Genomic DNA, 15,258 nt, shown 5'->3' on the forward strand with positions numbered 1-15,258 from the left:
ACTTTAGAATCAGTTTATCAATATCCACAAAATAACTTGCTGGGATATTAATCAGGATTGTATTGAATGTGTATATCAAGTTAGGAAGAATGAGTATCTCTATAATATCGAGTCTTCCTATCCATGAACATGGAATATCTGTTCAATTTTTAGTCTTCTTTGATTTCTTTCATCAGAGTTCTATAGCTTCTTCATATAGATGTTGTACACATTTGTTAGATCTACACTAAAATATTTTATTATGGGGGGGTGGTAATATAAATGATACCGTGTTTTGTTTTGTTTTGTTTTGTTTTTGAGACGGAGTCTTGCTCTGTTGCCCAGGCTGGAGTGCAGTGACATGATCTCGGCTCACAGCAACCTCTGCCTCCAGGGTTCAAGTGATTCTCCTGCCTCAGCCTCTCGAGTAGCTGGGACTACAGGTGTGCACCACCATGACTGGCTAATTTTTTGTATTTTTAGTAGAGACGGGGTTTCTACTGTCTACTGTGTTAGCCAGGATGGTCTCAATCTCCTGACCCTGTGATCCGCCCACCTTGGCCTCCCAAAGTGCTGGGTGTTTTTAATTTCAAATTCCACTTGTTCTTTGCTGACATATAGGAAAGCAGTTGACTTCCGTGTATTAACTTTGTATCGTACAACCCCACTATAATCCTTTATTAGTTCCAGAAGTCTTTTTTGTTGCTTCTTTCAGATTTTCATTACCTGCTTTTTCTTTAAAAACTTTGTTATACTGATTGAAAAAGCAAGAAAATTTCTAACAGGCACAATGGACAGTGCATTAGCTTTCTAGGGCTGCCACTACAAAGCCCCACAGACTGGGCGAAGTCAACAACAGACATTTGTTCTCTCACAGCCCGGAAGGCTGGAAGGCCAAGGTCATAGTCTCAGCAGGGCTGGCTTTGGACCTTGGCTTGCAGACGCCGTTCTCTCTCAGTTGTCACAGGGTCAAGCCTCTCTACGTATGTGTGTCCTGATCTCATCTTCTAATATGGACACCAGTAATACTGGATTAGGGTGCACCCTGACGACTTCATTGACCCTTAATCAACTTTAGGACCCCATCTCCAAACACAGTCACATTCTGAAGTATGGGGGGTTAGGGCTTCAACATACAAATTTGCTGGTGGCGGCTGTGAGGCGGGGAGCGCAATTCAGCCTATAATAAGTATATTCTTTAAATGGCAAAAGTATGTGCAAAAGCAGTCATTTACTCCTTAATTGGAACGTTATCCTACTACACTGGGAGCTTGTACCATTTGAAAACATTAAGCCATATGGGAAAAATGTAGAAAAGAACATGGAATACACGGATTTGTCCCATGGGAAAAGCATGCTTAGTGTAACCCCGTATCTAGGAGACGTGAAGGGAACTTTTTCCTTCTCACTTGTCTTCTATCCTTGACCAGAACGGTGTCTGTGGCACTCATCACATCGCAGGTTAGACAGGCTTTCTGAGCCGGCCTGGAAATGGAATCACCACACAGAATATTACGTCTGTGGGAAGATGTGTTCAGAGTCAATGGAGATCTGACCTGTGGGGCTGGAAGGTGATTTGTGGGATGACGAGGACCTGCCTGCTGAGATCCTGGTGCGCAGCTCCATTATAAGGTGTGTGAAAACCAGAGACCACGCAGCTCTCAGGAACACAAATGCGTGGAGAACAAATGCCCAGTGAGAGACCACCACTATACAAACACGAACGAGACCCCCAGAAATGGCACCCAGGAACCCACGTCTGGCTTCATAGACTTATGTGTTTACTGGGGAACCGAATGGACCCGCCCACATGTGCTGCACCCAGGCGGCCTCTTCTGGCATCTCTCAGTGGGATGTGCTGCACCCAGGCGGCCTCTTCCGGCATCTCTCGGTGGGATGTGCTGCACCCAGGCGGCCTCTTCCCGCATCTCTCGGTGGGATGTGCTGCACCCAGGCGGCCTCTTCCCGCATCTCTCGGTGGGATGTGCTGCACCCAGGCGGCCTCTTCCCGCATCTCTCGGTGGGATGTGCTGCACCCAGGCGGCCTCTTCCCGCATCTCTCGGTGGGATGTGCTGCACCCAGGCGGCCTCTTCCGGCATCTCTCGGTGGGATGTGCTGCACCCAGGCGGCCTCTTCCGGCATCTCTCGGTGGGATGTGCTGCACCCAGGCGGCCTCTTCCGGCATCTCTCGGTGGGATGTGCTGCACCCAGGCGGCCTCTTCCGGCATCTCTCGGTGGGATGTGCTGCACCCAGGCGGCCTCTTCCCGCATCTCTCGGTGGGATGTGCTGCACCCAGGCGGCCTCTTCCCGCATCTCTCGGTGGGATGTGCTGCACCCAGGCGGCCTCTTCCGGCATCTCTCGGTGGGATGTGCTGCACCCAGGCGGCCTCTTCCCGCATCTCTCGGTGGGATGTGCTGCACCCAGGCGGCCTCTTCCGGCATCTCTCGGTGGGATGTGCTGCACCCAGGCGGCCTCTTCCCGCATCTCTCGGTGGGATGTGCTGCACCCAGGCGGCCTCTTCCGGCATCTCTCGGTGGGATGTGCTGCACCCAGGCGGCCTCTTCCGGCATCTCTCGGTGGGATGTGCTGCACCCAGGCGGCCTCTTCCGGCATCTCTCGGTGGGATGTGCTGCACCCAGGCGGCCTCTTCCGGCATCTCTCGGTGGGATGTGCTGCACCCAGATGTTCTCATCCCACGTCTCTCAGTAGGATGTGCTGTACATAGGTGGTCTATTCCCGTGTCTCTCGGTGGGATGTGCTGCACAGAGGTGACCTCTTCCTGCATCTCTCGGTGGGATGTACTCCACCCAGGTGTTCTCTTCCCACGTCTCTCAGTTGGATGTGCTGCGCACAGCCGGTCTATTCTCGTGTCTCTTGGTGGGATGTCTTACACCCAGGTGGTCTATTCCCGTGTCTCTCGGTGGGATGTGCCGCACCCAGGTGGTCTATTCCCGTGTCTCTCAGTGGGATGTGTTACATCCAGGTGGTCTCTTCCCACATCTCTCAGTGGGATGTGCTGCACCCAGGTGGCCTCTTCCCGCATCTCTCAGTGGGATGTGGTCCACCCAGGTGGTCTCTTCTCGTGTCTCTCAGTAGGATGTGCCGCAGACAGGTGGTCTATTCCCGTGTCTCTCAGTGGGATGTGCTGCACCCAGGTGGTCTCTTCCCGTGTCTCTCAGCGGGGTCCTCTCACAGTCTCACAGGTGAGCGGAGTTGCACTGCAGGGACCAGAGCTGATGGGACTCTCATGGCAGATGATCCTGCAGCCACCAAGAGCTTAACATGGGGCTGTCATGGGACAGACGTCTGCCAAAGACCACGGGACAAGAACCTCAGAAGCCTGTCCCTGAGTGGGCACAAGCCAACGGGGCCAAGGGGGCCACCACAGTGACTGGGGGCATGGTGTATGGTGGGGAAGGCGCCTGTCTTCCTCAGAGGACAGGAAGGCTGGCCCAAGCCCCAGTTTCAGTCCAATCGCCATCTTCAGAGCACACAAGTAAATGACCCCAAAAAGGCAGCACCCTGACCTGGCCTTGGCTGGGGAGTCCACAGGGGCCTTGGCAGAGCTTGTGTGGAGAGCGATGCCTGCCCTGCCCACCTGCTGCAGGCCCTCTGCAGACCTGCAGACAGATGCCCGAGGCCCAAAAGACACATTCTCCAAGGCAAGTGATGATGACGGAGGTTAACTTCAGTTTCTGAGACCCACCCACATCTGCAGACAAACTCACCTGTCAAAGGCTCAGCATGTTTCTGGCTCACTTTCTCAGAGGTCACTTTCTTTGGTGGATTTTGGACGGCCAGCGTCTGGGGTTCCCTCTTTCCTTGGCCACTTGGAACAGGAGGAAAAAGTCTCTGCAGCACCTTCTCCACAAACACTGTACAGACAACCGATTAAAAGAAAAGGAGGAAAAGGAATGAATTATGCAGTTTATCTGAATCACACGTGACTTTTACTCTACACAAACACACACATCCTGAAAGCACCAACGGAGACCCAAGTCCCTGGTCCTCCCACGCTGGGCACTGCACACCAGGATCCCCCAGACTCTGCCCGCAGAGGAACCCTTGAGGCTGGCCCGAGGACCCCCCACCATCCTGCCATCAGCTGACCCTCTCTCCAGGGCATCACCCTGCATCCAGGAGGCTGTGCACTGCTGGCAGGTGCTGCCTCTGGCTGCAGGTCCCTCGGTTCCTCCCTGTGAGGTTCAGGCACATGCAGGCCATGACCCCTGTCAGTGGGGGCTGTGGTCCTGGGTGGACGGTGTCAGTGGCCCACAGTGCTTGGAGCCAGGTGAGTGAATGGAGCAGGTCTGGCGGGCCCTGAGGCAGGGCAGGCACCACCCCGCGCCCTCTGGGAACCCACGGTCTGCACTCTCTCCCTTAAACTGAACGTGTCAACAACTGCGAATGGGGAGAATTCCGTGCATCTGACGTGGTTTAACGACTAAACAGAGATTCTTTACTTTGCTTGTTTTAGTTTACGTTGTTTAAACTGTGGGACAAACGGTCATAATGAATAAATATTTCTGCCCTGATTTAAGTGTGGTTAATAAACAGGCAGCTGCTTTGGAATAACCAAAAGTCGCACAGTGGAAATCAGCACTCCTGAAACAACTGCCTGGTGCCTTTAGGAACAGGGAGGCAGGGACTTGGCCTGACTGGAGGCGTGCAGGGATCTGTCATAGGCCCCCTGAGAGGAGACGCTGGGGGTGGCTTCTAGGCGAGGCAGGGAGGCTCCACGGCCCTACCTGGGAACACTGTAGCTGAAGGCACAAATCCTTCCTAATTCTGGCCTCTGGGACAAACACGTGATAGAAATAACCCTCCTACAGGCCCCGCTGTTAAGAACACTATGTGGGTTTCCACGCAACGCTCACCAGAGCTCCCCGTGCCCTCCGTGGATGGACCATGAAAACCCTGAGCACAGAGCTCAGTGGGAGTGAGGTGCAGTGTGGTCATGAACAAGGTGGCTGCTCACTCAGACTCTCCACCTCCGCGGCTCCCAGAGAGTGAGCACAAAGCCTGCTTTTGCTGGGAGGAAACGACCTCTGGTTAAGTGGAAAACCTGAACTGAAACGATGTGATCCCTGAGACCCCGGGCTCTTCACCAGGTCCTGGCAATGAGAGGGTCCCCATACGCTATATTTTGAATATGATGCAGAAGTGCACTAGCACAGGATACCTCAAAAGCTCCTGCTGGCTGTGGTGAGCGGGTCCCACCCCTACAGAAAGGCCTTGCCTCAAGCATACCTGCCCGGCGGAGACACCTTGGCTCTCAGGGAGCAACAGGTGGTCTGTGAAATGCTTTTAAAAATGTGCTGCAGTGCTCCCAGGTATGTTCAAAAGAAGGTTCCAAGACTTCAGATAAAAATCCAATGGTCACATTTCCTTCAAATGTCAAAGAAGAAAATGTCCTGTGCCAGATGACCAAGCTGGTGATGAGCAGAGGAGATGGTAGGCAGATAAGATGCACTTTATCCAACATCTTCATAAGCCAAAACAAATTCTAAGACAAAACCATAACCAGCCGTCCAATTCTGCAAACAAGGACAGGGGCGCTCAGAGCTAAAGCCTTGCTGGGCCTGGGGCAGCCAACGCGGACATGTGGCTGAAGTCGCCTCCCCAGGCACAGCTGCCTGCGAGTGTCTGGAGCCAGGAAAATGCTATGGAGAAATCCCAGGCCATGGTCAGAGCCAGGCAATGCTGCAGAACGCCTGAGGCTGGGCAGGCACAAGACAGTCCCAGGGACGGGGGCAGGCCAGGGCAGGCCCTGACTAAACAGCCACCGCCAGGAGACGCTGGGCCCAAGCAAGCATCAGATGACAGAGTTTTCTGAAACAAGGCAGCTGATCCCAAAGAAAATGGCAGAACACGCCAGGGTAAGGATCGGAGCGCACTGAGAAACGGCACAACACATCAGCGTTTGGATCAGAGCGCACTGAGAAACCGCACAACACACCAGGGTACAGATTGGAGTGCACTGACAAACTGCACAACACACCAGGGTACAGATCGGAGCGCACGGAGAAACCGCACAACGCACAACACACCAGGGTACAGATTGGAGTGCAATGACAAACCGCACAACACACCAGGGTATGGATCGGAGTGCACGGAGAAACCGCACAACACACCAGGGTACGGATTGGAGCGCACTGAGTCTGGCCCCAGGTCACGGTCTTTCAAGGCTTCCTGAGGCAGATTTCGGAGCTAAAAGCGACATAATAAGAATGTGCCTTAAAAAAAAAGAAAGGTAGGGAGCATTTTCACTGAATTCCATCCACTGCCTGAAATAAATTACATTTATAGCCTAATTAACAGTGGTTTTCCACCAACACTGTTAAATTTCATGTTTCAAATGAAAATATCTGATATAGGTGTACAGTACATTTCGAATCTTTATAAAAATTCTAAAATGGAAGTAGAAGGCGGGAACAATGTAAAGTCAGCTGGCTTTAAATTCAGAGTGACAGCTGACAGGGGTTTCTCAGGGATAACTGACATGGCAGAGGCCACCCTGGGAGTCACAAGCTCCGCCTTCTGTAACACAGGCATTTCTCTCGGAAGAGATTTACGTGATCCCAGCCTCACGACCTGAAAGCCAGGAATCAATCTGCTGGCACAGCGTGCAGGGACCACAGAACCCCAAGGCCTCTGGGTCTTCAGCCTCTAGGATTTCTGCAATTCCCCTGCACGCCTGCTCAGGTGCCACACGAGCAGATTCGAGAGGGGTGGTTCCCAGAACCATGCAGACCCATGTGTTGTGCGGTTTGTCATTGCACTCCAATCTGTACCCTGGTGTGTTGTGCATTGTGCGGCTTCTCTGTGCGCTCCCATCTGTACCCAGGTGTGTTGTGCGGTTTGTCAGTGCACATGCCAATGTCCCAACACCCTCCTGAGGAGCTTCCCCATAGACCACCTAGGCAGGTCCCAGACTCACCTCCCACCGGGAGCCCAGGCCCTGGGGCCACTGCCTGGGCTGAGAGCCCGACCCTCGGGGCTTTGCCACACGAAAGCCCCAGGCCTGGCGAGGCTCAGGGAGGCCGTTTCAACCGTGAAAACTTGGGTTTCTGCCCCACCCCAGCCCTGGCTGTTTGAGCCGTCATCCAACAGCGGGCTCCCACATCGACCAGGCTCCGATCCTGCCCCATCCACCCTCCATGCCTCACTTTTCTCCCATTTTCCTTGTACTCCACCATCATGACATCTCTTGGGGCAGTTATTTTTTGGAACTGCAGTAACTTGGGTCCAGTGTTCTCAGGGTGACACTGAGGTCATTCACTTCTGCAGAACTGCAGATGGGCGCTGGTGCCCACATCTGGCTGAGATGCTTCTCTCAGCTGACGCCCGCGGTCGCCCGCAGGTGCTGTGAGGTCTGCTGGGTTTCTCCCTGCCAAGCGACTCTCTTTCCTTCATAACCAACAAACACTGTGGAGGAGACACCGCGGGACCAGATCCTTTTCCTCCTCAATCTCACCCACTAATTCTGGCATCCGCTGGTGGGTCCTGGCGGTGGCAGACGTCGCTGTGGGCTCCTCAGTGGCTTTCCTTCCTCACTCCTTCCATGTTTATCACGTGGAATTTTGTACTGAAGTGCCCACACTTGCACATGTATTGAATTATTACCTTTGTGCTATTTAATACTTTAAGGACTCGTAGATGTTTCATTCGTTCCAAGGACCATCACCCTGTACTGTCCGGATATACTTTGTTGCTCAAATAGTCCCAGCACTGGCCACAGGGTCCACCGCAGTGTGGACCCAGCGCCCTCCAGCATGGACCTGGTGCCCTCCAGCCCACCCGGCCCTCCCATGAGCACACAAGGCCCTACAAGGTACCGCAGGCTCATCTTGTATTTTCTCTGCCTAGGCCTGGAACCAGCCCCTTCTCCAAGAAGACCAACATTTAGAAAGCAGAACGCGGCCCTAGACGTGCACCTTGCTCCTCTTGTCTTCTGAACACAAAATCTCATCATGTCAGTCCTTGAAAATCACTGACTGCTCTGCACAAAAGAGGACTTGGAGGAAGAGGAATGTCCTGGACACCCTCAAAGACAAATGAGACCTCTGAGAGGCAAATGCAGGCCGCGCAGACATACCAACGGCAGGACGCCGAGGTGCCCACGAGGAAGGACGAGGAAACACACCTGCCCCACGCCAGCGTCACCCACGGACATGACCGATGGCAGAACGCTGAGGTACCCACGATGAAGGACGAGGACGCATGCTGGCACCGCGCCAGTGTCAGCCACAGACACACAGGATAACAAAGCTGATAACTGGGATAATCAGGATGCCAGGAAGAGCATGCAACTACTTAAGAATGCAGGAAAACAGGCTGCTTAAAAATCTTAAGCAAACAATACAATTTTAGTATACAATTTTAGTCCTTAACGTTTAAATCCCGAGTTTTCATATGGAGGGTGGGAGTGGGAAGAAGGCCGTAGGGATTTGGATGTGCTAATTCACGACGGTCAACACATAAAGGTCTGTACAGTTTACAGCCACGGGAAAGACAATGTCCCTTTTCAAATTCAAACTTGAGCACGGTCGTCAAAATAAACTAAAGCAAAAAGAAAACCTTTCAGCAGCCTAAGCTAAACTGGTTTAAGTATCATGAATCCCTATGGCTGAAGGGGCTCCATGTTGCATGGGTGTTCTAGAACCTAGTGAAGGAAAACGTCTTTCCCAGTGGCCCACACACTCCTGGAGGTCACCGTATCTGCTCCTTCGCTGGAATGAGCCTGAAGCCACTCTGACCCCTGCTACTTCTGGTAAGCCTTGTCACAGAAAAGACGAGCACGTCCCGCACAATGCTTCACTCACAGGAGTTACAGCATGATTTTGATATTAAATATTGGCAAAGGCTGGTTTTGTGTCATATTATCCATGACCCATGAATTACTCATAAAGTGTCCTGTAAACAGGCACAAAAACAGATGATCTCAAATAGATGTCAAAATGGATATCTCATTATAAAGCGGGAGATTTTTTCTTCAACAAGAATTATAATAAATTTTAACTCAGTTTAATACAAATATCCAGGTATCTAAAAATAACTTTGCTGACAAATAATATGTCTAAATATTTACAGCTGCTAAAATAGAAATAATAAAGTATTTTTTAAAAAATATAATTTTAACTTTTTAAAATCAGTTTTTAAAAGAGCAAAGTTTAAAATGCAAAATTGAATATTAATAATTACTTTCCACCAGCTAATATTGCTGGCAGATTCACAGACGAGCTTCACTTCCTCCCAGCCCCAGAGATGAGAGCATGGAGGTTGGGGCTGGGAGAGACCTCACGGACACGGCGCCACTTGGGTTTAGCATCTGAGCTGACAAGCGCCGAGCGTGCGGCCCCCACACACCTGGCCCAGGCACTCAGGGCCTTTACCACCAGTGCTCACACTGTTTATTTACACAGAAATAATCAGCTGTTTTAGACCAAAACCACACTGCATGGCACTGATGCCCTTGCTGGTTCTTGGAACCGTCAGAGGAATGACACAAGGACCCCACGGACTGCTGGTGGTTTCCTGCAGATATGGACACGATTCTGTAAACACAGCCTGTCTTCCAACGGGCCAGCTCTACTTCGCGACTAATACCAAAAGCAGAACATAAACGAAAGGTTTTTTCCCTCCAGAATAACCAGGACACAGTGAAGCATTTGTCATTTTTGGTTTGTTGAAATGCTCGTTTTTGATCCAATGTGTTTTTACCTAAGTGTGTGTACGCTTATGAGCTCTAGATAGAGGCTGACAAAAATCAAGTTAGAGGTTAAAAGCCTCTTTTCTGTTTAATTCACAATGTGTTGAAAACAAAAGGAACCCACAAAAACAGAGCTGGACCAGCTGGTGCAGCAGGAGCTCCCGGAGCCCCCGATGCTGCATGGCCCAAATGAAAATGCCTTGCAGTCACGACGACTCCGTGTCTGTCAGAAGCCTGAGGCTGGTTCCATTCTCCTTCCCACACCTCATCAACGTGCTCCCCTTCCAGCAGCAAGAGCAAGTTTTAACTTGAAACTCTAGTGCCCATCAAAAAGCAATCACCGGAAAATAAAAAGGCAGAGGACGGAGTGTTTAATGCCAATCGAAAAAAAAAACCTGCAGGAAAACAAATAAATGACGAAGCAGGCCAAGCAATCAGCACCGAGAAAAAGAGAGACACAACAACAAAAGGCCAAGGCCCAGAAAAAACACCCCGTCTGAAATTCACATGCCGCAACACCCAGCAGAAATGAGTCCCTTTCACAGGGGAATTAAGTCACTTCGGTATAATTCTCAGAAAGGACTGCTGCCTACACTTGCTATTTCAAATAAAAGACACAGCCAAATACCAATAAAATCTTTCAGTAAAGTGTTCTATGGAAATTACACACTTAGGAAAAACTGTAAATATATGTAGCTCACAAAGAAACAAAGTTTGACCACTGGAAGTGAACCTATTCAATTCTAAACTCTTCCTAAATGCAGTTGCTGAATTTAAAATCTAACAGTTGGGTATGCGACTCCTGGTGCTGGAAGAGATTAAAATAATGATCATTCGTGATTCTCTAAAATTTCAAAACTTTTGCTATCACCCTTATAAACTGGTGTCTGTTGGAAAAGTGTGACTTTCAGAGAAAATACGTGTACAGCTTATTTGGGAATGTGAAGAATGAGATCAGTTCAAAAGGACCTATTTCAAAATGTGGCTGCTCAGGAGAAGCTGTAAAACCGATAGGACCACATGCTTACAGGAATTCATTAAAATAAGAGAGACCACAAATATTCACGAGTGACTTTACAATGTAAAGCCACTGCAGGAGAAAAACATACTGACTTGGTTTGGATGTGTCCCCTCCAAATCCCATGGTGACATGTGAGCTCCAGTGTTGAAGGTGGGCCTACTGGGAGGTGTCTGGGCCATGGGGCAGATCCCGTGGGAATGGCTTGGTGCCCACCTCATGGTGATGAGCTCTTGGAGATCTGGGTACTTAAAAGGCCGGGACCTCCACCTTCTCCCGCTCTCCCTCCCTCACCATAGGACGCTGGCTCCCCTCTGCCTTCCCCAAGAGTGGAAGCTTCCCGACGGGGCCTCACCAGAAATGGGTGCTGGCGCCATGCTCCCTGTACAGCCTGCAGAACCGTGAGCCCAGCAAACCTCTTTTCTTTATAAATAACCCGGCCTCCGACATTCCTTTACAGCAATGCAGAACAGACTAACACTCACAGAGAACAAAATCAGTTTATAACATTCCTTTTTAGTTTCCACTTAATAGACTTACAAACAGAAAAGTGATTAGATTTTCAAACAAGAAATAATCATTAGTAGAAATTTCCACCATGGCCAGCTTGGAGGTGCTTGCTCCCTGCCTCCTTCACCTGTCATATTAGAGAAATCTCTCAAAACATTTCCACTAAAACCACAAAACACACACAAACCACATTATTTCATCAGTTTAGAGAAAATACCAAATTCTGCTCTCTCAGTGAACAGCAGCTCTAGCTGATCTCTTTTTCATCCTACATCTGCCTGTCTCATTGTAATAGGCATTTTAAATTTAACATTTATTAGGGTTATTGTATTTTCTGGAAATCTGATTGTTTCAATTTTCTTTTTTCAGTAAAAACTAAGTTAAATGCCTGCTGAAAATATGCTGGCCCAGCCACAGCTTTCTTTAAAATGATAATCACTGTGGGATTTTTTTTTCATTTTATCCCTATAATGAGGCAAGGTATTTAGCCTTTGACTATAATCTAGAAATAAAGGAATAAACTGGTAATAGAATTACATCACTTCACAAGAAAGAAAAGCTCAGTATGTTAATTCAATGAGTAGTAGATTCTTGAGGAGTTTCGTAACAGAATGACAAATGGAAAAATAATTGGCTAATACTTAAGCAGAAGTGGGCAAGCTTTCTGAAATATCAAAAAGAAAAAACAAAAAACAAGTGCTCGACACCAAACCAGAAATAATCCTCAAATGGGACATCACCAGAACCTCACGCCATGACCGATCTGACATGGGATCCTCACGTAGGAGGTGAAAATACACCAAATGATCATTTTCTACTGGAACTCTAACCCTTCAACAAAGAAGAAAGCCGGGCACCTGCAGGCCAGCTGCTCAGGATGCTGCGTCAGGAGGATTACTGGAGAACCAGCCCGGACAACATAGTGAGATCCGATCTCTACAAATAAAAAAGGAGAAGAAAGAAAATATTCCACGCAAACTTTGCCCAGAGTTTCTCCTTGTAGTTTTTTAACCAGCATTTGTCGTATCACGAAGCGTTCACAAACACCTTACCTTCACGGGCGGCTGCAATAGTTTTCATTAAGCACTGGTAAACACACCCAGCGGGATGCGAGCAGCCCAGGGGCTTCCGGAGAGGCCGGCACTGCCCCGACGGGGGCGGGACCTCAGAGCAGCCCACTCAGTTCTCGGAGTCAGTTTCTCACCAAAACAAGGCTGGGCTAAAACACGCTGAGAGGTCATTGGGAAGGCCGTTCAGCAAGCTGCTTTATGAAAATCAGGAGACACCAGATAAACTACACCTTTTACTCCAATATTGTTATTTTTTCCACTTTCATTAAACATTGGCTTTTTCCTTAGATAGGTCCTGAATTCAGCCCAAAGAACTTGCAACCCATAAGGGATTCCACACCGACAAGCCCCGTGTTGTTTGCACGGGCAGGTTACGCTCACTGAGGAACGCTATCAAAGATGTGGAACCCAGAACCCGGGAAGCAGCTGTACCTCCTGCACCCACGCCGCCTGGCCCGGACCACGAGGGAGCCACGGCTGCCCCATTGTGGCCTCCTGGACCCCACTTCTTCCCTGCGCCAGCCACGAAGGACCATGTGGTCCTTTTCGGGTGCTGTGGTTTCTCGTCCCACACCCTGACGCAGTGATGCCTGCTCACCTGCTGACCCCTCCGGCTTCTGTACCTGCTGTCCCCTCCGGCTTCCTGTCTGCTGTCCTCTCTGGCTTCTTGTCTGCTGTCCCCTCCAGCCTCCGTGCCTGCTGACCCCTCCGGCTTCCTGTCTGCTGTCCCCTCCGGCTTCCGTGCCTGCTGTCCCCTCCGGCTTCCGTGCCTGCTGTCCTCTCCGGCTTCCTGTCTGCTCTGTTCTCACAGGCACAAGGGTCCCCTACCTCCGTGTCTACTGCACCCAGCGGACAGGACCAGCGGCAGTGACCAGCTTGTGACTCCATCAGAACCTTGCATGTGATCGGTCACCTGGCTGGGTCCTCACGGTGCTGCCGCCCACTTTACAGATGAGCCACCTGAGCATTAGTAGAGTGAGCTCTGAGGCAGCAGCCCAGCAGGACTGACCTCGGTGGCCATCCCCATCGAGACCTAGGCCTGCTGTGCACTGAGGCGCCAGCCGTCAGGGATGGGCACATTGGGCATCCACCACCTCCTCGGCCCACTTCCCTCTCCAGCTGTACACCAAGCACGACTCTCTCCCAACCTGCAAGCAGCCGAGACTGCAGCTGCCCCCATGTCTGAGCAGCTCCTGCAACCCTCCTCCAGCCGTCGCAGTACCGCATCTCTTCATCCCCACGTGCTCTGGCCTTGCCATCCCTGCACCTGCCCTTCCCTGCTGGGGCCGACCCTCACCCCCCAACCTCACCATGCACCAACACTCCCGCAGGACCTGGCTGGCACGGCGCCTCTTCCTTTGCCAGGATTCTCTAAACCTCCCTGTTCCATGAGGCTGATTCCTTCCTTCTTCTCTCCCCTCCTTCGTTCATTCATTCAGTCATTCACTTGGGAAGCGCTCCTGAGCACGTTGTCCTTCCTTGAAGATGGGAAAAGAGGTGCCAACTCCTGTTCTGGAGGAAGGATTCTACCACATCTGAGTAGAAAATGTCAAAGCCACATGTGTCAATGAACACAGCCCCACTTCTCCTGCAGCACAGCAATGACTCCTGTCCAGTTCTGCACACAGTCCCACACACGGGGCCAGAATGAAAGTCGGCCCCAACAGAGTCACCAGGCACCCAACCAGACCAACGCCATGCTGTAAGAAGAAAAAGGGGCCTCTTTCCAATGGAAACAAATCTGAGCCAGCATCTTCAGCTCTGGGACTCCAAGGGAGAGGCAGGTATCACAGGCAAGTTGCAGGGTACAGCTGGGAGATGCACACACCACACAAGGACACACACAGACACGCATGTACAAACACGCCACACGCAGACACGTGTATGCAGGCACACAACACACAGGCGCACATGCATACACAGGCGCACATGCATGCATAGACACACAGGAAAACACACAGACACACATGTACACCCATGCCACAGGCAGACACGTGTACACAGGCACACAACACACAGGTGCACACACATACACACACAGGCACACATGCATGCACATATACATAGGCAAACAGCCAGACACTCATGTACACACACACCACACACAGACACGTGTACACAGGCACAAGACACACAGGCGCACACACATACACACACAGGCACACATGCATGCACATAGACACAGGTGAACACACAGACACACATGTACACAAGTGCCACACACAGACGTGTACACAGGCACATCATACACAGGCACACACATGTACACACACAGGCACACACAGGCAAACAGATATGCATGTACACGCACACCACACACAGACACATGTACACATACACACATACATGAACATGGACACATGGACACACACCACACATGCACAGACACAGACACCACACAGGCACATACGTATGTACACAGATACACATGCACACACATGTACACACACATCCCAGACATGCATGTACACACAGACCACATGCAAAACACACATACATACACCACACAGGCACATACACATGCACACACGTACACATACACATACACACACGCACACCACACAGGCACACACATGCATGCACACACATACACCACTCAGGCACATACACATGCACACACGTACACATACACATACACACACGCACACCACAAAGGCACACACATGCATGCACAGATACACACCACACACACCTGCACAGATGCACACAGACATGCATGCACACATACACCAGACACGTGTGCACAAAGGCATACACAGACACGTGCACACATAGGAACAGCGGCACACATACATGCATGCACATTGACAATATGCACACACAAGCTCACAGACCCACACCTACACACAGACATCTCTCCCGGACTACCAGAGCTGCAGGAACTGGCACCAGTGCCAGCACCGTGGACAGCGCCAGCGATTCCTGGCGTGTGAAGTTGGGGCAATCCACTCCCTGAGGTGCAGGAG

The 15,258-nt window shown here is 50.8% G+C and overlaps 1 protein-coding gene across 29 annotated transcripts in view, besides 2 other annotated features; it reads right to left on the reverse strand.

Annotated features, from left to right (window-relative positions):
• Positions 1 to 15,258, reverse strand: part of ERICH1 (glutamate rich 1) — a 116,479-nt gene that overhangs the window by 97,405 nt on the left and 3,816 nt on the right. For all 29 annotated transcript variants that reach the window (XR_007060715.1, XR_007060714.1, XR_007060710.1 and 26 more), the window contains exon 2: positions 3,711 to 3,857. Coding sequence is in view for 17 of the 29 variants with exons in the window: in XM_047421403.1 (XP_047277359.1) it covers positions 3,711 to 3,857 (147 nt within the window). In the remaining 12 variants the exon portion in view is untranslated. The remainder of the gene's footprint in view (positions 1 to 3,710; positions 3,858 to 15,258) is intronic.
• Positions 7,610 to 8,145: an enhancer, noted in NCBI's record as "H3K4me1 hESC enhancer chr8:669760-670295 (GRCh37/hg19 assembly coordinates)". NCBI's record gives its function as "activates a minimal SCP1, AML or CMV promoter by ChIP-STARR-seq in naive H9 embryonic stem cells {active_cell/tissue: H9 hESC(naive)}" and the evidence as "EXISTENCE:reporter gene assay evidence [ECO:0000049][PMID:30033119]".
• Positions 8,146 to 8,680: an enhancer, noted in NCBI's record as "H3K4me1 hESC enhancer chr8:670296-670830 (GRCh37/hg19 assembly coordinates)". NCBI's record gives its function as "activates a minimal SCP1, AML or CMV promoter by ChIP-STARR-seq in naive H9 embryonic stem cells {active_cell/tissue: H9 hESC(naive)}" and the evidence as "EXISTENCE:reporter gene assay evidence [ECO:0000049][PMID:30033119]".

Source organism: Homo sapiens, chromosome 8 (genome assembly GCF_000001405.40).
Source record: "Homo sapiens chromosome 8, GRCh38.p14 Primary Assembly".
Classification (NCBI taxonomy): Eukaryota; Metazoa; Chordata; class Mammalia; order Primates; family Hominidae; genus Homo; species Homo sapiens.